The 24,241-nt window shown below is 34.7% G+C and overlaps 1 protein-coding gene across 5 annotated transcripts in view; it reads right to left on the bottom strand.

Annotated features, from left to right (window-relative positions):
• The window catches only part of PRKG1 (protein kinase cGMP-dependent 1), a 1,307,463-nt gene that overhangs the window by 808,223 nt on the left and 474,999 nt on the right, over positions 1 to 24,241 (bottom strand). For all 5 annotated transcript variants that reach the window (NM_001098512.3, XM_017016413.2, NM_006258.4 and 2 more), the window contains exon 3: positions 22,292 to 22,405. In NM_001098512.3, coding sequence (NP_001091982.1) covers positions 22,292 to 22,405 — 114 coding nt within the window. The remainder of the gene's footprint in view (positions 1 to 22,291; positions 22,406 to 24,241) is intronic.

Genomic DNA, 24,241 nt, shown 5'->3' with positions numbered 1-24,241 from the left:
AGGAAATACTCTGATATAATTGTGTCTGGATACCAGAGACAAATACCTAAACAACTGTTTCATCTTGTTTAGAAATGAAACTGATCACTTGTATGGGAGGAACACTTACATTTTAAGTGTTCTTCAAAGAAAAGTTTCCAGTGGCCATCCCTAAAAGTGGGGCCAAAAGATAGGAAGAGGGGTAGTGATGATAAGTGAGTCCACATTCAGTTGAACTATAGTAAACAGGTCATAGAACATTCTTAATAATCTGAAAATGACTAGCTATTGAATATTTTTCAAATCCTTATTCATCACAGCTCTTCAGTTCATGTCCTATTATTTTCACCTGAATTACTGCAACAGCCTATTAAGCATCATCCAATTTTGTTCCCTACCCTCCATCCCATTCCCTCACCTCTCATCACATGTGCACTAATTTATTCTCCACATTGCTTTCAGACAGCTCTTTTGATATAAAAATATCAAATCCAACACATGTCATTTTCCTGTTTAAAATCTATTGGCTTTAAAATAAGAACTTCAGTCTATAGCTGTGACATAATCTAGAACAGTGGTTTTCCAACTTTAGTGTGGATCAGAAGTGCCTGAAAGGCTAGTTAAATCTCCCTTTTTGAATCAGGAGTCTTGGGTGGGGTCTGATAATTGGCATTTCTGATAAATTTCCAGGTGATGCTGATGCTGCTAGTTGGGGGAATACATTTTGAGAACCAGTGATCTCGCAGTTCATGCCTACCCACTGTGCCTCATTGCTCAACATGGGGTCTTCAAATCCCAAAATTCATTCTGTTCTTTCTTGCCTGTATGTTTCTGCTCATGCTAATTCCTCTACCTGGCATGCCTGTCCCGTCTGCCTACAGATTAATCATTTCCCACCTTCTGTGTTCCTGTGATAGCATATATTTTCTTCTTTTCTATTGTACCCTTATCACATTGGGCTGTAATTGCTGTGTTATTTACATTCTATGGTGAAGTCTTTGAAGGCTAGCTGTTTCTTATCTCTGTATATTCAATGCCTAGCAAAATGCCTAGAAAGACATTCAAATAATTTTTCAATGTATGTTGCTAACTACAGAGTTAGCAGAATGACTCTAATACCTTGACATCCTGCCAACGGCAGTTTTTTTGTTTTGTTTTGTTTTAGTATCCCACTTTCCTTTAGTGATTAGTAGAAATATCCTAGAAGAAGAGGGCCTGTGTGCTTGTTGTCTGAGATGGAAACAAGAGATTGTAGTCCACTCTTGACATATCAGAGAGAAAACCTGAAACGGATGAATAGTAGAGGAAGAATGCAGCCTGAATCCCTGGGATAACAAGAGAAGAGGTGGACGCAGAGAGCCAGTCTAGATCTAAGCTACCAAAAGCCCTCTGCGGGGCTCCCAGTTAAATAGTTTTATTATCTAGTTTGTCTAGATGATGTGTGTGTGTGTTTAAATTTTTAATGCCACATAGCGTTCACATTCTACTTAGTATTGGATAGTAGATTCAAAGATTAGGATCCTAGTTAAACACATCTAGGCATGATTACATTTCAAGCCAAATTAAAGGTCTGCACAAACATCATCTAGTAGTAAATATAGATGTCAAAGTCTACTACGGAGCTGGTTTATAGTGCTGCCATCAGCCAAATAAAATATTTCCATTCCAATTATATTCAGAAAGAAAATCTAATTCCTGAAATGTAATGAGTTTTCACACTTCCAATGCTAAGAACCTTTTATTAAAATGTCTTTCTACTGTTGTATTGATTGAGCTTGTACCCAAAAGCTCTTTAAAGGGCATTAGTTAGGAATTAGAACTTGTAGTCCATTTAAAAACCTAGAATGACCAAAGTACATCTAGAGAATTGTCACGTTAAAATGTTATATGCAAAGCTCAACTTCCATATATTAAAGAAGGATGACAACTATAAGAATGAATTTTTAGAAAACCATTCAGCCTGTCAATATTTCACACATTTAGGGCTGGACTCACAGTCACCCAGTCAGCCATAGCTGATTTGGCATTTATCATACATGTCATATAGAATTTGAATTAGATGATGACTATTTTTTCCACTGACTCTATTGATTAAAATGTAGTCTCATTTTAATCCTAGAACCATGTATTATCGATATACAGTAGAAAACAGGCACTCAATAAATGGTGGTAGAATTTCTTCTTAAAAGCTGATTGTCTATTTTTAAAACTACGTTAACATAGTTGAAATCCTCAGTTGTTTCTTCGTCATCATCTCTCTACAGTCTCCAAACATTAGAAACTGAAATAAAACACTTTTTGAGTATATATTCAGGATAACTGCCATAAAGTGATTTCTGATGTGTTTCCAATTGCAGTACTTTTATCTGGCAGATATATGCTCTCAGGAATTATATGCCAATAAATTACGAGCTTCGTTGTCCAGGGTGTTTTTGGCTTAGCTTTTGTCCGTTGATGAGACATACTCCTTAAGATATTCTTAATAATTGTTTGGCCCATTTTCAGTAATCTGGCTCTTCCTTCTCTTTTTCTGTATTCTCTAAATTAGAAGCAAGTCATGAGGTCCAGCCCATCCTCAACGGAAAGGGATTATACAAGGGTGTGAACATCACCAGGTGGGGCTTCTGGGGGGCCACATCCACCTCAACTACCGCAACTCCCTACTGAGTTTTTTAATCTTGTCTCTAACCCTTACTAATTGCTAACTTAATATTTATTTGACTATAGAGTTCATACTTGTAAATACAATTCTGGTTTTCAAGATGCTTATATATTAGTAAATGTTAAATACCAAGAGTACCCACTCAAAAAAATACTAACTCAAAATATCCTGGTAAATTATTAATATAATCTCCTCTAGCAGAAATATGTCAGATTAATATTCATATTTTAAACATGTATTCTTATTTTCTTAATTGCAAGATGCAGAAGCTTAAAACTTCTAAGCTTTAAGGGTTTACATTCTCAATATTATAAGATTTTCTTTTAATGTCTTGAACAGGTGTTACTGGCTTGGCAGTATTTATAAGGTTTACGTACTTTTAACTCTACACTTTGCTTTTTCCCCTTTCAACCTACTAAGTCAAGTTATTGGTGTATGCACTCTTTACATCTAGCAAATGCTCTTTAATACCCTCTCAAGATCTAGTGATGCCCTTTAACAAATGTGAAAGAGAGAGAAAAAAGCCTGTGGCAATCTGAATATTAATTGGAATTTGACAACAGATCACCTCTTGAAGGACAATATCCTTCAGAAAAAATAACTACCGCACTGTAGAAATTAGGAATTACAGAGTGACAATATAGCAAGCACTGGTGAATTGAGTTAAATGATTTAGAAGGTAAAATCCTTTTGTGAGATAAGCAAAATATTATTTCAAGCCAATGAACCCTAAATTGTTAATGATGGTAAAGTATACTAAGAAAGCTCAATATTTTCTTACTCAGCAGTCGCTTGAAAAGTTAAAGCTTTGCCAGTCCTTAAATGAGAAACTCAAATAGTACGGAATGGAAGATTTTCCTCCAAAAAGCTATTTTGATTTTGAGATTACTCAAAATAGGTGGAGGGCTATTCACATGTAGCCATTCAAAAGCCAGAAAGAATGGAAATGCCACACTCCAATCAAACCTTTGGCAAAGTTTAGTGTATTTTAAAAGCCACTTTATTAAGGTAAGACTGACATACTAAAAGTTGTATATATCTAATACATGCAACTTGATGACTTTGGAGTAAGTATACAATTGTGAAACCATCACCAGCATTTATGCCATAAACCTATCCATAACCTCCAAAAGTCATCCTGCTCTCTTATTTACAAGATACAACTTATATGATGAATCTAAAATTGTCAAACTCACAGAAGTAGAGAGTGGAATGGTAGTTGTCAGGGGATGGGGGAAAGGGGGATGGAGAGGTATCAGTGAAAGGGGACATAAGTTTCAGTTACACAAAATGAAGAAGTCCCAGAGAGCTACTGTAAAGTATAGTGCCTACAGTTAGCAATACTATATTCTGGTATGTGTTCTTATCGCAAACAAAAATAATAATAATAATGTATTTTATAATGCTGTACTTAATGATTACAAGATGAACGGAAACACTTTGGAGAGGGGCCTCAAGAAATTGGAGGGATAGATTGATAAATGACGGTAACGAACATCTTTATAAAATGAAGAGATGAAAAGAGACTTCTTGTTCTAATGAGAACTGTTGCCTATGGCTGGGGAGAGTCTATCTTGCCATGCATCAACAGGTGTGAATGGCTGCTAACAACATAAGTTGACACCGTTAGCAAGCTGCTACACTATAGCACATTTAAGATGTCACATGACCCTAATAAGAATTCCTGAATGTAGCTCATAGCTCAAATCAGTACTCAAAGACAAGAAAGTGTCTTGCCCCTTTTGTTTCCAAAGAAGCTTTTTGCCAGCTTATATGACGTACAAAAAATAACAAAAGCAAACAATGTTATTTAACATGTTCTGATATTTAGTAGCAATATAACATTTTAGTAGAGCCTCATAAGTAGATTCTTAAGTATCTTGCCTCTCTTGAACAATGACTTTAATCACTTTTTATTATACTAGGGGATTTGTATGTGGGCTGTCTTTCTTCATAATATCACTTTCTTATTGTTTATTTAAGAATCCATATACTGAGTGAGGCTTGTGAAACTATGCTACAAAGCTATCTAATTATTTCCAAGACTGGGTACACAGACACTTACTGCAAATGAGTTCTGTCTAACCACCCTCCGCGGAAGATTTGTTATTCAAAACAAGAAAATGTTCAAGGTAGGAACCTTGCTTGATAATCACTTATCCTGTGAAGAATTCCAAGTAGTTTCTTCCCAATAATTGGAACTCCAAAGGAATTGATTCAGATACTTATCAATGTAACTACAGTTAACCAAGAATGTAAAGAGGATAACCAGGACACTGCATACTCTTTATTAAAAAATAAAAATAAAAGGTAATTGGCATTTACTAATATGGCCCAAAAGGTACCTCAGTATTAAGAAACTCAACTTCATTTAAAATGTTGAGCAAAAGGCTTGTATTAGATTTTCTATTTGTTGAAAAAAACTTCTGGCCCTATTCCTTAACAACCTGGAACAGCCTGAAGCTCAAATTTCCCTAGTATTCAATGTTTTGGATTTTGCAACTACCTAGTTAAGATTATTAGTACATATATCTCTTTGCTAATCAGTGCTAATTATCTCTATCTTTAAAAGAAAGAAGAAATATTGCCAGATAGAATCTGGACGTACTTAACAGAACAACAACAGCAGCAACACAAGTATTTCTAAGAAGGAAAAAGCTGACTGTGACTTTCTGTACAAAGCAAAAAATACTCAGGCATAACAATTCAGATTTAAAAAGCAATTTTTTGTTGAGTCAAATTAAAGAACATGTTTACAGGGCACATTCTTAGCACTCTAGGGTTAACTAGTAGAGGAAGTCTGCCTTAAGTGGTGAGTCTCACGTGGGGGCTTGGAGATAGTAGGTGCTCAATAAAACTTTGATTGAAACAGAGTATACATTAAAAATGCTCAATGACAATAAATGTGGGGGCCAGGCGCTGCAGCTTATGTCTATAATCCCAGCACTTTGGGAGGCCGAGGCAAGTGGATCGCTTGAGCCTAGGAGTTTGAGACCAGCCTTGGCAACATGTTGCAATCCCTTCTGTACCAAAAATACAAAAATTAGTCAGTCTTATGACCCGGTCCCAAAATGCATAAATACATAGATCAAAATTTAAAAATAAGATAAAATGTCTTTTAAAAAGTAAATAAATGTGGGATTTCTCTTTGAGATTACAGGGAAGAAAGTCGATGGCCTTTAGTAAAGACAATGATTGCTTTTATTACGCGGAAACTGCTAATAGGGCTCAGGTAAAGGGACACGGGCTTGATAATTTACTATCCCCTATGAAAGGGCATTAAAAAAGGCAAGTGCAGGTTGAAACCATATTAGTGAATCCTGTTTCATGCTATAGACTACTCCAAGTAAAGGTTTTATATCATTAGCAAGTTAATTCAGCTCATCCATCAAAATTTACTTCAACTCTATCATTTCGTGCATCAACAATATTTTCAGAGTCACTAGTAGAATCAGATAAAAACAAAGCTTAGGAAGTAATTATTTCACAGCTACTCCTCCTCCACTTTCACGTGTCAGAAAAAAAAGCCTTATGAATTTGCTTAGATTATTAGTTTTCTAAATTAGCTAACTGTCAAGGTAAAGGAGGGAAACTTTGAAAAGCAGTGTCAAAACTTAAGTGTATAAATGAAAACATCATGGTTTCAGCAGATATTTCCTGCTGATTGTTTGAAACCCTGCAAAAGAGTATGATAAAGCCTTATGAAATAGTAATGAATACTCCAAATATATCATCACTAAGAAATCTTCATAGTTTAGATGAAGGAATGCCTTGCTATCAGCATTTTAGCTTCTAAGAAGTCAACAACCTTGAAGGCCTGTCACACATTGAACGCTTCATTTCCTAAGTATTGTCTCCAACTTCCAGGTTCAATACAAGTATCCTGAGAAATGTGAAAAACTGGAAAGTGGAATTGTGGAAAAAAGTTAATTAAGGCATAGTCTACACCTATAAAGACCTGACAAATTAGTGAAGAAATTTCCACTATTCAGATTGAGATACAAATAATAAAGGAACTAGAAAAAAGGAGGAGGAAGTTGAATGGGATTTCTAAAAGTAGGTGTGAGTATAATAGTCAAAGATGGAGTAAAAAGAAATTTTACACGGAAGGCATTAAATGGAAAGAAACCCCTGCATAAGGGCACCAAAATAGAAATGGCTCAGGGGGCTGGGTGCGGTGGCTCACGCCTGTAATCCCAGCACTTTGGGAGGCCGAGGCATGTGGATCACTGAGGTCAGGAGTTTGAGACTAGCCTGGCCAACATAATAAAACCCTGTCTCTACTAAAAATACAAAAAATTAGCCAGTCGTGGTGGCAGGCGCCTATAGTCCCAGCTACTCGGGAGGCTGACGCGGAAGAATTGCTTGAATCCAGGAGGCAGAGGTTGCAGTGAACTGAGATTGTGCCATTGAATCACTGCATTCCAGCCTGGGCAATAAGAGTGAAACTTCATCTCAAAAAAAAAAAAAAAAAAAAGAAAGAAAAGAAAAGATTCAGGAAACCTTAGAAATCTCTAAAGTTATGAGGTAATTAAAAATGGTTGTCCTGGAACAGGAAGACATTATAACAATCATGATTTCATGATTTATTGATTACATATTTTATCTGGAATGACACTCCACATTTGACATATATTACCTGATGTAAGCCTTACCCGTGAAATATACCTTATTATCCCTATTTCATGAATGATGAAACTGAAGCTTAGAGAAGTTAAGCTGCTTGTTAAGGCCCAAAGTATATTCAATTTTCAACCCAGACTGGATGACCATGTTTCTGCCACCATACTCCCTTGCCTAGGAGAACCATGGGGGTTAAAACCACAGCTTGGGGAGTGAAGGTGAGCAATATAAACAGAAACCTCTTTAGAAAGGTTAGAAAATAATAGGATTAAGTCAGTATCCATGTCCAGGGTAGATGTAAGGGGGAAAAGACTAGAAGCCATTGTTACCCTTCAAGGGAAAGGGAAAGTCCTAGTGAGCCAGGCCAATGGCAGTCTGGATAAGGAGGCATGATAGAGCCAATGGACACAAAACACTATTCACTTAGGTGGTTTTGATTCTCCTCCTCCACAGTTTGTATCCCTTCTGTCTGTTCCTTTTCACCTACCTTGTGCTCTGTAAAAAAGGAAAAGTATAGACATTCATTAAGTATCTATTTAATACTGCATATCAGTTATTAAATCTCATAGTGTTTGATTTTAGAAATTTAAATTCAGAGGGGGTAAATAACTCACTTAGGGTAAAAATACCAAAGCAACAGGGATGTCGTTCATACTTGAGTTTAAAGTCCATGCCTCTTGCCATTATTCCCCAGTCTGTGGAGGTGAGTAGTTTGTACTGGAAGAACTGGAGTAAGGGAAGGTTGAAAGGGAAGGTGGGAAATCATTCCAATTCCTTATGTCACTTTATATATCATGTGTGCATCTTTTTCAAACTATTTCCAAGAATTTAATAATGCTTTCGAAGTACAGAGTAGAAAATGCTAATGTATCCTTCAAGTTATACAACAGAATTATTGTATATGAACTAAAAAAAAATTATCATGGTGATATATAACCCCCTCTTAAAAAGGCCTTTAAATGCTGGCAAGTTTCTGTGATTCAAATGAGCTTGACGTTCTGTTCACAATTTGCTAAGATACTTAAAAATCATTTCAAGGCGAAATAATGAAGTGCATTAACTCTTTAAAGAGGCACTTGAAATGCTAAGCAGAAGATATTAGCACTAACAGAAAAAAAAAAAAATGAGCCTTTTTACAATTACTAGTGAGTTCCAAAGCTACTATGATTTCTCACAAGAGAAATAAAAGCAAGAACTGAGAGAATTACGCCAATAATGAGTTACTTGGGATTTAAAATTTCAAATAAATCCAAAATTAATGAATTTTTAAATTAATGTACACTAAAATAATGTATTCTATTGAACCAAAGAGTCTGGCCGGGCATGGTGGCTCATGCCTATAATCCTAGCACTTTGGGAGGCCAGGGAGGGCGGATCATCTGAGGCCATGGGTTAGAGATTAGCCTGGCCAACATGGCGAAACCTTGTCTTTACAAAAAAATACAAAAATTAGCTGGGCATGGTGGTGGGCACCTGTAATCCCAGCTACTTGGGAAGTTGAGGCACGAGAATTGCTTTAACCTGTGAGATGGAGATTGCAGTGAGCTGAGATCATGCCACTGTACTCCAGCCTGGGTGACAGAGTGAGAAAGAAAGAAAGAAAGACAGAAAGAGACAGAGAGAGCAAGAAAGAAGGAAGGAAGGAAGGAACGAAAGGAGGGAGGGAGAGAGGGAGGGAAGGAGGGAGAGACTGAAGAGTAAAATAGCCTCATGCTAAAGAAATAGTCAAAGTTCCTTCATTTTTCTTTTTCTCGGTAATATTCCTTTATAGCAAATTGACTTTTTTCAGAAAGATAGATTAATTCTACTGTGTATGAGTTTCATTAAATGCCATATACAGCAGACATTATATGTATGGCTCATATTTTGTTTGATTTCCTTTATTTGTAGATACACCCATGTGCTTTGGTATTTCCTAGACTCATACCACCACCACCTCCCCCATTCTCCAGTCCCTCATATACCTAGCTAAATTTGCTTTTATGTTTATATTTCTTAACGTATCTTCTGAAATCTTTCCTTAACCCTTTTTGACTGTCCATTACATCTCATGGCCACATTTATTTAGAAAATTTTAAGGCCAAAAACATTACAAATCTTCCCATATTATCAATAACCCCTATCAGTACTTTTCTATCAATATTCTCTATGAGCTTAATACTGTTATTAAAAATAAAATGTGTTTTATAAGGTTTTAAATACCAGTACTAAAGTCAAGGTTCACGGCTGCTTCACCATGGTCATACCCAAAAGGCTGTTAGCCATGGGTCTCCTACACAACCTTTTAAGCTTTTTTTTTTTTTAGGTGCCAAGGAAGTGATCTCAGCTACAATACCATCATTCTACTTCCAAAGATGATTCCTGAAGAACTCTGAAAACGGTATGGAGAACACAGTAAGGTCCAATTTTTAATTACGAGCCCAACGTATAAGTCAAGTATGATTAAATTACACTCTTGAGGAGTTTAAGTAGAGGGACACTTCTTATAGATAAGGCGTAGGAATATTCTAAATGGTTATAAAATGGTTTACTTTATAAGAACACCTTTGGCAAAGAGATTATATCAGAAGACACCTTACCTGTACTGTGAGTGTCAGTTTACGAAATGTATCTTAAAATTTGAAAACTTTCCTGGGTAGCTTACCACATGGACTAACACATTTTTCTCAAACATTAATAATAATTGAGAATCAGTTTATAGGAGAAGCAGTGCAAATATGCTCACCCAAATGCCATGAATTTATATGCCTTAAGATCTCATCTGGAAGAGAAATCTAGTGCCTACTTAACTAATGCTCAGAGACATTAATGACACGGTTGTAAATAAATCAAGCTTGCCAACATTTAATTTTTTTTTTTGAGATGGCTCTGCTGAGCAATTAAAATCAATCAACATAATTATTCCATAAATTTTAAGCTACTGGTGATTCAACTGAATGAAACATCTAAGTCCTAAAACAGAATGCCAGACTGTCATCACAAAAATCGGGAGAAACCTAAAATTCAAATGCTGTGAAGGCGTGCCAAGTCAACCACCACACATGTATTACTGTTGAACATATCTTTAGAAAGACACCAATTCTCTCATCACTACTTGCTATTCCAATTTAATCAGCCCTGTTAACAAAGGGCATGCATAACAGCTTCCAATTCAAAGTATTCATGAAACATCAATACAAAGTATAAATATTCTAGTTCAAGTTATTAAGTTGCATGGACCAATGAGAATATGCACATCGAGAGTGGAAAAGAAACAATTTTTTAATAGCAAAAATGAATTGAAAAAAATTGGAAGATGAGTAGAAGAAAAAGGACACTAATATTATCATATAAGTGAAAAGCTCAAAGGGAAAATGAAAACAAAATCCAGCTACTTTGACCCAAAATAAAACCTTAAGAAAAACAAAAGCACCTACCAACTATAAACAAACAACTAATATTCAGAACTGAACATGATAATTAAAAAGCGAAGTGGTATGATCTTCCCTTTTCAGATATTTAGGAAGAGAAAGAATGAAGGCCAAAATGTCAAAGTATTCTTTTATGGGAGTGGGGTTATAAGTGATTTTTAAAATCTTTACATGTATGTATTTTATAAACACATTACTTTTATGATCAGAAAATTACGAAAAATTTTAAAAGGCATTCAAATAATTATAAGGAAAACAGTCTATACAGAAAAATATTCTGCTGTTTTTATCATTGTTTACTGTTGTCCATGGTCTAAGTTTTTCTGATTGAAAAAAAAAGAAAGCACAGGTAGGAGATTCAGATAATGAGTAAATAAAAGATTACATCTTTCATTTAGTATTTTCTCTTTTTCTCTCTTTTTGCTTCTGAGACTTTTAAGGTATCTTGACGTATTTAAACAGAGTCCCAAAACATCTAGAGCTCATTTCTGTTTTTATTAGTCATGAAACAAATAGACAAAGGGAGTCGATTTTTTTATGTCTAAGATCTCTTCCAACTCAAATTTGAGTTTCAGAAGATATTTAGCATTTCAGAAATTCTACTTTTGATATTTTAATAATTTGGTAGCCTCAAAACTTCATGTATTACATTTTGGGTTCCACGTAGATTGGGCCATTTCACATTGGTAAAAATCCCATTTTTTTTTTTCAGTATCTCACTCTGCTTCATGTTATGCTTAAGCTTCATGGATAACTTTTATTGGTTGTGTGTCAGAGACAAATTGCACTTAAATTGATAGATTTTTGCCTCACAGTATTAAACGACAATAAAAGGCAATGAATATGAGCAATTTCAAGAACTTGGTTCACTACAGTTTTAGGGAAACTGGGAATTGGTAAATTCAAAATTTAGATAAAAGGATTTTGTCTATAAATTAAGGATATAAAATTATACAATACAATTTTATCTATCTGGTCAAGGATTTGGCCAGAAGTAGTTTGAATCATCAAGGGGGCCAGTTTTTGCATTCTTATAAAAATTATGGCCATCACCAGCAGCTTTACCCAGAAGGAATGTGGTGATTATAGATTCAGATTCTTCCTTAAGGCAATTAAAGAAGACAGATAAATTGAACACCACAAGTCTTGAATTTCCAGGCTGCATCTTAAGATACAATCTACTTTTGTCATTTGTCTGAAATAGTACTTTTTAAAATAGTTACTGTTTTAAAGGCATGCTCAATAGCCATCTATTCGTAATTTGTCCAAAGCCTTGATATACTTGGCGCCTCCTCAGGTCTGTGTACACACAGACTCAAAATACACAAACACTTGTCATGAAGTCCTAAGAAATCTGGCCAGGAGAGAAGTGATGGCAACAGGACTATGGGACAACACAGATGAATACCCTTTACCTCTTCACAGACCAAAGTCATACCTCCAAACAGAAGCATTGAATTCAATGCCCAGCCTGTGTCATTCAATCTTTGCCACTATATCCTTACCTGTAGTTTGGTTTTGGTATCAGTGCCTCATGTACAAGTTAATTCAAAGCATGCATATGAACCAACTTCCCCAAGTAAGGGCTGTGATGAAAAAATTAGGGTCTGGGATCCTGCCAGGACCTCCAGTCTCTGGATCGTGGCCCTTTTTTCTTATACTTCTGTATCTATGGGTTTCAAATTGTGCTCTTAGTTCCTCAGGTTCGGCAAATGACGAAAGTTCGAACTCCCTTCCAGATTATTTCTTGCTTTCATAGCACCAACTGTGAGGATAACAACTTTTACAGAACAGTAAGTGTTTACTGACTCCATTATGTTCGTTGCCGCACTAAGCACATCACAGGCATTCCCTTCTTTAATCCTTGCCACAGTCATAAGGTGGGTCCTTACAATTTTGAAGGTAAGAGAACTGAGGCCCAGGAACATTAAATTGTTTTCCCAGGGACACACAGCTAGTAAATGGCAAAGGATGAGAACCCAAGCAATATGCTTCTGGACACAAATGCTCGGAACTATTCTTCTCTTTAATTTTGGCACAGGTCAGTTTCTATCTCCTCCACTAAACCCATCCATGAGAGTCGAGAATAATTTTTCTTTCCTTCCAAATTCTTCTATTTGTCTCGATCTAGTTTGCCAAGAATTCCTTGTAATCTTTCTGTCTTTCCTTTCTTTCCAACTAGATTATAAATATCTTAATTGTAGGGCTATGCCCCCTTTCTCAGTGATGCTCCCCAGAGAGTTCAGCAGTACCTCACATGAATTTGGTGTGAGTCTTAGAAATTCTTGATAAATGACAGTGCAGATCTAAAATTCAATTTTCATATATCAACTGCCAAAAACAACATTTGAGATGATGTAGTTCAATGTTTTGCTGGTGACTGTCAAGGAGAGAGATATAGTTTAGAAATCCAGGTGTGTGACCTTAAGGAAGTTTCTTAAGCTCCTTAAAACTCAGTTGCCTCACCTATGCAATTGTAGTATCGATCCCTAAAGTGCAGGACTATTGTAAAGGTTAGAGATTCTACACATAGCCAAGCGGCATGTACATAGTATACAGCTGATAAAGAATTATCATTACTTAGGTACTCAGAGTAACCCTGGATTCAACTAGAAAAGTGGTCTTCAAACTATTTTACCTGACCTGAACTCAAAAATTCCAGAGAAGAACTTAATCCAGGGGGAGGAATGAGAGCGAATGAATAGCAAGGGAATTTAGGGCAACTGGATGGAGCTCCTGGAGGCTGTTCCCCTATTCTGTAACCAGAAAAGTCTGTTCTTATAAGCTTCATAAACAGAAGTACTCTATGAAATTTTACTTTAGAAATAAAGCAACAACAACAACAACAACAAATAATCCACTTAGGAAGATAATTTAAACAATGCTGTTTGATCCCACTCAGAAGGTTATAGACAACCATACTTTCAGGTCAATAAAGTATTGCTCTTCTGGAAGTGGAAGGAATTATGAGGGTATAACATGAGTATTTATCAATGAGGCAGACTGTTTCTCCTTTAGAGAAAACAAGCAGTAAAGAATACTTAGCTTTAAAGGAAAATGTTCAGCTACCCCAGATTGCTTCTTGAATCTTTTTTTACCTGCCTTCTGAGAAGTCAATATTTATTCTCTAGGATCTATTGTCACCTTCACAGTGAAAACTCAATTCTTCAGGACTCCTGCAAATATTGACTGGCTCACGTCCTTGCCTGTATCCTTCAATACTGTAGGCCTCCGATCTCTACAGGTCTCAATTCCAAGGAACTTCCCATTTCCTTCTCAATGACTGTGATATATGGATGTCTTTTCATCTTCTAACTATTGAAAGCAAAGAGTTATGCAACCCACCTAAGACTACCTGGATCACACTATGAATTAAGTCAATGGCCACCTATGGAAAGTACCAAAGACCTTTCCACTATGAGTACAAAAGGTTGAACTTAATACATTAGTGAGAAATGTATTTTGATGTTGTAATGTATGAAGACATTATCAACTCAGTTGTTTTCTTAAAAATGTCCATTCACCTTTGTTATCACTTAATCCAAACTACACTCATGACCAGGAAAAGGAACAACAAAAAATCAAACGAAATTTTTTCTTTGTTCTGTTTTTCTACCAACATCCTAGCCATCAAGTTTAATAAATCTAAAAGTGATTTTTGTTAACAACATGGCTCGACAGTCCATGATTTTTTAATTTTTCCCTCCCTCTCAATCTGTTCTTCTTTTAATTTTACTTCTCACTATTCTTCAAAAGAATATATTAATAATATGTAGAAAGCTGGTACTCTTTACTAAGGCTGTGTTTTACTCCTTAAAAGAAAAATGCAACTTTCCTTAAATATCTCTGCTCAACAGCAACAAAACAAAAATAAAGCTGCAATGATGCCAATAATAACACTGACTACTTATTATAGTGTCTGTAATGTTCTTTTAAATTCCTCAATATAGACAATTTGATGAACATGATAGTATGCATATGTGTAGGTTAACACTAACTGGGCAGCTATAGGGTATAGTTCAGTCCTCAAACTATAGGGGCATTACCTGGAAGGCCTTGTTACACACGGATAGCTGTGACCCACCCCCAAAATTTCCTTTCAGTAGAGCAGGGGCCACAGATTTTGCATTTCTAATGAGGGCCTAGGTGATGCTGATGCTGCTGTTCCAGGGACCACACTTTGAGAGACATTAGAGTAAACATTTGAAGTTCCCTTACCAAGAGTTCATACATTAGGTATGGGTAGTAGGCATATTAAGAGCCTTATTCAGGAGTCCACACATAGAGGTAGGGAGCAGAAGGAGTAAAGGAGAGGTGCTTATAGCAAGGGCTTTAAATTACTGCTACCTAAATTTGCATCAGAGACTCTGTTAATGAACTACACTAATGCACTTCATGATCCTGGCCTGCATTTTCTCAACTGGAAAATCAGGGACAACCTCTTTCATCTACTAGATTGAGGTATTTTGAAGATTACATTACATAATGCATGGGATGACTGCATGGGATGACAGTTTGTAAATTATAAAGCATTATTATCATGATGACTTAGAAATTTAGTCAACAAAGAACATCTCATAAGCAAAGCAGTCTTTTCAGATTCACCAACGAAGTGCTAAGGTTACATTTCCTCAGTAGTCAGAGGAAATTGAAGGGGAAAATGAAGGCAAACACACTTGTCATGACTCAGCTTATCCTTTTATTTTGTTATATAACAAAACATAATAATTTTTTCCCAGTCTTCATTCATTGTCTTTAGCTGCTGTTTAAATTTTCCTAATTCCTCCTTTGAAGAAATTTATTAACTAACATATTTTATGTAAAAAAATGTAGCTACTTAGTAATGTCTCAAACACTGAACCATGAAGTTTCATCTCATGAAACATCCATAAGGGTTTCAATGCATTACAAAAAGTAGATCCTGCAATAGGTTCTGATTGCCCATTGTATGTCTCTAAGGCATTAAACTTATGACCTTCTCATCATTATGTTACAGAATTCATCTTTTTACAACAGATGTACTTAACATGGGTCCAAGTGCTAATATTTAAAAATTTTCGAAACCATAACATGCTGTATAAGTTTTTGTGAAAGCGGAGTCCTCAGACCAATAGAAGTAGTCTTACAGATACACTGGTGCTTAAAAGCAAAATGAAACATTGCAGGCAAAATTTAAAAGCTTGTGATAGTAGAGCAATATAGCAAAGTAGTGTCAGACTTATGGTCCTCCTTCTCACTAGTTATGAACATGGGCCTAATTGTTTAACTGCTTTAGGTCTTAGTTGCTTTTGCAATAAAATGGGGGTAACAACAACACCCATCCCTAAAGCTCTGAGCCTCATGTGTTGTTCACAGTCTTCAAATGTTATCTGCTTTTATTACTTATTGTTACTGTGGAAACATTCATTAGGAATTCATCCTGACCCTGACCTATAGGCAGGAAGGTTTCCTTTAAGAAAAATGATTACAGAAAATACAGTATTGGCCTATGTTACTAGTTTACTTTTTATTCCTCAAATCAGTTGAATAAATACTAAAAATGCCTCTAAGCAAATTGTTAAATGAATGAATGAAGATTCATTACACCAAAAACTGACTCAAGCTTTACATGTGTGGGAGCTTCTTATGGTGCAGATTTTTGTGGGAAAACTGCTGCTTCTGCAGGATTAACTAACAAAAACAGCTAAAAAAAAAAAAATCAGTGTTTCTTGCCTATTGTTTAGATTTCCTCATAAATTACCTGTGATCTTTAAAACATAACACTCTATCAGCTAAAGTCTGACTCTTCTTTAGAAATAGAGAATATTCAAAGTATTCAATGTTTTAGTAATTAAAAGGAGAGGGAGAATAATTTATCAAGCCTTCAGAAGGAATTAAGTTTATTGCCTTTCTTTGACTATGGAAGGTAGCTTTTGCCTCAGAAGCACCGCTAATGTATGACTATCTACCAGGCCTGGTCAATATAGAAATTGGACATGAATTTTTGGGAAAGTAGTTATATATAAATTATAAATACACTTTGATTGTAACAGTTTCCCTCAAGCCTAAGGAAAAAAATCTTCTCAACCTGTAGAAAAAAATATAGTTCAATAATAGTTTGCCTCTTCTCCGAAATTCATTTTTCGTCTACTTAAACAACAAAAAAAATGAGATTAAAACATGGCTTTTGTATGTACATTTGTTCATGTTAGTCTGTTATGTAGCATCATTGATACCTAGTGAATTGATTCCTTTATTAAAGAAATTAATTTATTTCTCAGGGATTACATAATTGGATTTATGTTACTAATTTCACAATATTCTTTAATAGATAAATGCAATGAAAATTTTACTAAGAAGAATATTGTCTAATTAACTCACTACACAAGTGTAACAACTTCCCCAAGATGCTGCCAAAATATACTATGTTTGCTTCATTGTCTGCGATGATAACATTTGTGGGAAGTCACTTAACTATCCCTTCCACAACCAGGGTCATGTTTCCACTCATCATTGGCCCAAACTTAATTTGTGTCTTCTCCCCTTCTTTCAGGATTCTTGGTAAAAATCATGTATTAAACTGGGAGAAAACAAACATGCTTCTCTTCAACTTACCTCTCAAAGGCAGAACAGAGACTGTCTCATTAGCCCAGTTATCTCTTCTGCTCTTTTGCTATAGCACAGCAAGCATGACAGTACCTGGGTACTTGTGCTCATGAAAACCCAGGAATAATGGTATTCTAGCAATTGTTTGTGCTGATGGACAGTGTTGCTTCATTTTCACATGTGGATGTGTCTTTATCATAAATCTAATACTTCATGGTGCTCTACAATGATATTTTCTAAAAAAGTATCTGATTGCTTACTTCTTGGTTTAGGCATCTTAAGAAATTTCCCAGGTTTGCAGCTATTATAAGAACTTCATCAATGACTCCTTTTCATTAACAGTAAAAATTGGCATTCTTGTCTTTTGTTCCTTTACCAATAAAAAGCATAGTGTGGATGAATGAGATATAGATCATATGTATTAGGTATAGGCATTATTTTTATAGCATGTAAAAGTATTTACAGCAAAAAATTCAGTTGAATCTCCTATTACTTAATTCTCATTCATCATTTAGGTTTTCGACAGTCAGCAGATTTTTCTGATACAGTTTGAATAATGTAATGCTTAAAACAGCTGCAAGGGAATGTAAAGACATTTCACTACATAGACTCAAATTTATTTTAAAAACAAAAATAAACACAAAACTCCAGACCTTTAAACTTTGCTCTTAAAACATCTATGACACTTAGTAAAATATCTTAATTAGTCAACTTCCCCTTTACTAATATCCTAGGAAAGTTTAAGTATGTAAACTTAAAAAGATTCAAACCAAGGCAGAAAAATAGTTTTTTACCCAACATTATTAAAGTCATCAATTTGTCAGATTTCTTGTAGGCTTTTTAGGCTCTTTGGCATTAATAATGAAGTATTTTAATAAAGAAAAAAATTAAATACTTGTTATTAACAATTTAAGGAGAAATAATTAGTCAGATATTTTGCCCAAGTAATGTCATAAAATATCTACCACACCCACCATAGACGTTCTTTGTAGATAACTTTCTGTGGTGATTATATTGACCAGGCACCAAGATGTTTTCCTGAAAAGTGCTTTTTATTGGGTTTCATTGGAGTTTAGTTGAATGAGACCATTTGAATAGTACATGACCAAAGGTCTGGAGGCACTGAGAGCTGAAACTCAAAGTAAGAGAAGTAGGGCTTCAATTTAATGTTTACAGGCAAAAGTACTCTGAGTTCAACATGTGTCACTGAATCCCTCTCATTGTAAATGAAACGCCTTTTCCTTTTAAGTTTCCAGTAACTTCAACTTCTCCATTTTTGTTATTTTGAAGAACTTTGGGCACAGAAGCAAGGCCCAGGGTAAGTGCAAATTGATATTGCTATAGCTGTGAGGGTAGTAAAAGTGAAATCACACCCGGGAGTGACACTTTAGGAAAACGTGATAATGATCTGCTTCCAGGTGTGGGAACTGAGTAAGTAAGGGGTATTCAAACAACATGTGAGACATTCTTGCCCCTGTGGGGTTGAAAACGGATGGCAAAACTCCTTTCACTATACAATTTCAAAATATTTAGATAAAATATTAAAAAAATCAAACAATACTGAAAACATTAATTGGTACTGTGGAAACCAACTATAACAAGCGATTCTTTCCCCATCCCCATGCCATTGGGAATGTTTGTGATTGGAAAGATACAAAGTGGTCATTTTCAGATCACAGTTAATAAAGAAAATTTGAGGCTATTAAGCCATGAACAAACTCAAGACTGTTGTTAAATTTTTGTTTCCAATATAATGTTAATTTTATATATTTTTATTTCTTCATTCCTCAGGGAAAAATCAATAGTTATTTTATAAGACAGGAGCAGACTATGAATATAGATCTGAATCATACCACGATTTTTTTCTTTCTATATCACTGTGGTTTTGATTTTTTAAAAATATTATTCCTGGTGCTATCAGATCTTCCTCCTAGTGCTATCGTGGTAACCACTGAAAATAAATGTTATTTATTTTCAGAAGAATGCCAATTTATTTTTTCCCAGATGAAAACCAAAGAGCTTGCTTCAAACTACCATGGTGCTTCCTTCTGTTGGATCACTATGAACAAGCTCATAATCATATTTTATAGCATATGTCAATCTAGAGCTTTAGTAAGAAAACTACTTCTTGATAACCTAATCTTAGAAAAAATCCACAGGTGTACTGATCATATTCATTAGCTGATGAAGTCACTGAAATGTATTTATTAACAGCCTGATACAATTGTAAAAACTGCTCTCCTAAACAGGAAACAAGTAATGTACATTGAAAAACTATTGAATGCTACCTAGGATTTAGTTACCACTGTGAAAATAAAAATGCATTAAGATGCCAGATAACTTTCAGGCTAATCAAGGAAAATAGAAAAGAGAAAGGATCATCAACATTTTCAATCATGAAGGAAAGTGGGTGATGTTAGGGTTAAGGAGGTCAAAAGCCGAGGTATGTAAGAAAGAAGAAGCATGGATAGGTCAGCTATTGTGTAGAAAAATATTCCCCTCAGAATTAGACTATTACGCCCAAGTGGATGAATCCATTTTGAATGATACTCAAAATGGTCAATACTCTTGTCATTTGATACTCCAAATGACATGACGACAGGAAAATATGGACAAGTTGATATAATCTTGAATACTAAGAAATAAATGAACCTTAAAAACCAAATAAATTTGAAGACATGTTTTTATCACATGTAAAGAATAAGACAGCATTGGGAGTTATATTACATAGTCATTTTGTAAAAGTAGCATCCACAATGTGATCTAATTAGAATCATAACATATCCAGCCTGAAGGTTTAATTTAAATATATAGAAAAAAATGGTGCTTGAGGCCTACAGTCACAAGTACAATCTCCCTAGATAGCAGAGGTGGCAGGACAAAAAAGTCCTGAAACAATAAACAAACATTATTCATGCTTCATAGTGCTTATGAAACATTTGGAAGAAACAGTTGCGCACAGATATTGTTTCTGATTCATGCACAAAACCTCTGTACCTATAAATGCAGATATATATTTGCACATCACCAACTCTAGGCTCTTTTGTCAACACAACTTTTATATCTTAAGTAGGCACTGTGAAGAAACAAACACACACACATGCACGGATGCATTCTTGAGCTTTCTCTGAGTCTGTGTTAAAGAAGAACATGTCCCATTACTCATTTTCTTTGAAGATGGATGTTCTGACCCCAAAAGAGTTAGGCTTATAATTTGCATTCAACATCTAGTTTCTTCTTGTTGAATTAGATTCACAGTGTCTATTTAAATTTGCCAAATCAGAGTACAATAGATGTTAGTGCAGACGAACATCATTATATAGAACTCTAATAAGAAAACTGATGTTTATGAAGCAAACAAATCATTTCATTAAAAATCTTTGCTGTAAAATTCATGTAAATAAACTACTTAAAATATTTCTTTAATAAAAATTCCATGTTTCATAAGATTAACTACCATGTTATTACCAACTGTTGGCTTTTGGAAATTTTGTAGTTTCAATTAGATTAAAGTATCAAGCAGTGTACAAGCCTGAAATATTTAAAAATTTTAAATACTTCAAAACAAAAAAATACTTATAATACTGAGATATCATCAAAATATGCTATTCTGGTCTTTTTTATCTTAAAAGGAATATATTTCTCATGAAAATGAAGCATGATTGTAAAAATTGTTTCACTTAATGGAGCCATGACTATTCTTTCTATAGTTAAGGTTCTTTTTAAGTAAGTTAAAAGTTGTGGCAGATTCTATTATGGTTCACTGAGTCTCATTCTTTGAGCTATGTAATTGAATGATCACTTGAAGTAAAAACATGGCAGCATCTATCAATCAAAAGAGTCCTATGCTTTCAGAGATCAAGAATCAACTGCCAAGGAAGACTCATCCTAAAAGGGGCCCATTTGCAATTGGTGTTACAGTGAATCCAATGAATAAAAAGGTGATTTCACTAATAAGATGTATAAGACAATTTCTGGGACTCCAGTTGGCCGTGCATTCTTATGTTTTTTTTAAATCCAATTTCATTGTTGTATTTTCAGTTATATGCTGTACTTCTGAAGGAAAAAACTAATACAAAAAGTAGTCAACGAGATCCAGATAAAACTAATTGAAATTCACAATGTACTTGTCATTTTGCCAATAGCATTTTTTTTAAATGACAAAACCTAATCAAAGTAATCTGTGACTGAAATCAACCACAGGAAAATGTGTCAGAAGGACTTTTCAAACATGAAATACACACGTTTGCCTAAAGATGCAATGAACCTTACATTGTTGACTTTTGAATTCAGCTCTGTTTGTTATACAGTCATTATATACTTATTCAGGAAGCAGATTTTTTTTAAAAAAATCTTTTTCCTTCTAACTATTGCAGCTGCTTCTGCCAAGCAATAAAAGTTGCTAGAGAAATCATATATACACATACATGTAAAATTAGGGAAACAAGCTGCTTTATTGCCCTGATTTAAAATAAGCTCAATCAGTAGAAAAGATAAATGCTATAATATACAGCTTGATGAGCAGCTGAGGGCAAAAATATACTCAGATGCAGTTTTAGAATTCAGGAGATATCTTACTCAATGATGTTTGAATGAGATGAAGGACATTTCTTCTCTTAATTTTTCTAAACCACTGAGTAAACAAGTGGAATTTATGTGAAGAATATAACCCAAAATAGACAGACATGTAAAAATTTCTTAAATATGATCCTGAGACTATAAAGAGAGAAAAGGACTTGCTCTTATTTGATTCAAATGTATAAAATTATATGATTTAAAAAATCCTAATTATGAGAAGTTATTGATTAAAGGATAATTTTCAGAAGTCAGCAAGAAAATGTAATTATACAAAACTGATTGTTAACAATCACCTTTAGTAGGAAAACAAATACATCAGCTATATTGCAGGGCAAAAATTAAAATACAAAGAAATAAAAGTATAAAGATTAAATGAATGGGCATTTTAAACAACATCTCAAAGGCCTAGGGAAAAGACATTGAAAATATTTTAAAAATATGAAAATAGTCTTACTCTTGACGGTCGCTGTCCGGGTACAGTTGTAAAGAATAGCCAATTCCCCAAACACTTTTCCTGGACCCATGGTACACAACTTCACACCTTCTTTTGTAACTTCAACCTTACCATCTAAAAAGGAGGAGGGAAAAACATGTTATATAAATTATTTCTCATGCTTCATTTGTTGCATTTTTAATGTGAAGAGGAGTGTTAGGCTCATTTGTAAAAATGCAGTTACCAATTAAAACAAAGTCACCACGAGGCAGCGCAAGAAATAAAACAAAATATGGAAGTTAAGAAAAGTACATATTTTCTTAAATTTACTACTGAAAAGATTTGATATGAGATCCAAAGAAACAACAAGAAAATATAGAGACAAACAGGCAAACATAATATTATTCCAAATCTGTTATTAGTAAACCACAGTAATTCCAATTTTAACGTAATTTTGAATCTGAAAGAAAACTTGAGTAAGTGGTACATTTTCTACAGCACACTTCATACTTGAAAATTCTCATTAGTAAGGCAGCTATTATGAAGAGGGGAATTACTTTGACCCTTTGCCATTATTTAATTCTGCTCATGGTATCTTTTTATTTAAAACATCTTGCCTGACTTGGCCAAGACTGTCTTATCTGCTTCCTAGCTCTGCAATGTTAACTGTAGGAAAAAACAAACTACAAGGGTTGAGGGAAAAGAAAGCTGTGTTATGACAGTTTATGTTTGATAAAGGACTTGGAAAATGAAATGCTAAAGGAAGTAAAAGCTAAGGCAACACCACATACTGGGTATATATTGTTACCTGCAAGTAAAACAAATGTTATTCATGAGATAAATGAAAAAAATACATATTTTTGAAAGTCATACCTATGTAGACTAAGAATTTCATGGCCTAACACAATCAAGATAGAAATAAAAAGGCAACACAATCCATTCTTGACTGACTTCTCCTCTCCTATTTTTCTCCAAGTTATTTATCCACAGTCTACAGAAGAGAAGCTTAATGCCTGGCAAGAGAGTTAGCTTGTGTTTGAAAGGAACTATGTTCCTCCAGTGTTTGCCAAACTTCAGGCCTTTATACTTTGATTTCATAATTGTTCCTTTATTTGTGTGCTACCTGCAATATTTAACCTTTTAGAGTATTGACATTAAATTCACTCCTTCCCTTTTAAAATCAACCTGGTTTTATCTAGGCAATAATCTTTGTAACAACTGAGGTTTAATGTGCTGATTAATTATTTTCAAATACTATGGAGATAAAATCTTAAATATATATATTTTAAATTTTAAGTTTAATCCATATACTAGTGGTACGTGATTCACCCTTCAGAGGACATTATCCTACCCTGAAAACCATTTCACATAAATGGTATCAATGAAGAGAGAATTCTGCAGTAATTAGAATAAAAATCCATAAAAATCTCCTCATTATTTTTGACTGGTGTATGCATGCCCCTCTGTATGTAAAGAAATTAGTCAGGAATGAACAAATTCAACAACTCAAAAGGTTTAAAAAGACTTGCTTACACAGGTACGGCCAAATATTCTAGCTTTCTCATGGTTCACTTCTTGACTGTAGGAAAGAAAATTCTTCCCCATCAAAATCAGTCCGGTAAATTCATCTTTTCATAAGCTTCAGATAGTTCCCATGGCATTTTCCTTCCTTTTTTTCAGTGGCAAACCTATGCCCCTAGAAATTTCATCTACCACTCAAGAATGAGAGACAGGACAGAATACCACACAGAGGTTAAAAAATTTATAAATCATCTAAAGATAGACCAAAAGTTTAGTTCTGGTTCTCTTTTCTGTTCCTTACTGGCCTTATGACCTTGGGCAAATTGCTTAACTTCTCTTTGCCTCAGTGAAATAGATACAATAAAAGCACCTATTTCATTGGATGATTGTCAAAATTAAGTGAGATAAAGCAGGTAAAATTCTTAACACAGTGCCCTGCACATAGCAAAT

The sequence above is a fragment of the Homo sapiens genome, chromosome 10 (genome assembly GCF_000001405.40).
Source record: "Homo sapiens chromosome 10, GRCh38.p14 Primary Assembly".
Taxonomy (NCBI): Eukaryota; Metazoa; Chordata; class Mammalia; order Primates; family Hominidae; genus Homo; species Homo sapiens.
The sequence above is the reverse complement of the archived record's forward strand: the minus strand, read 5'-3'. Positions and strand labels throughout refer to the sequence as shown.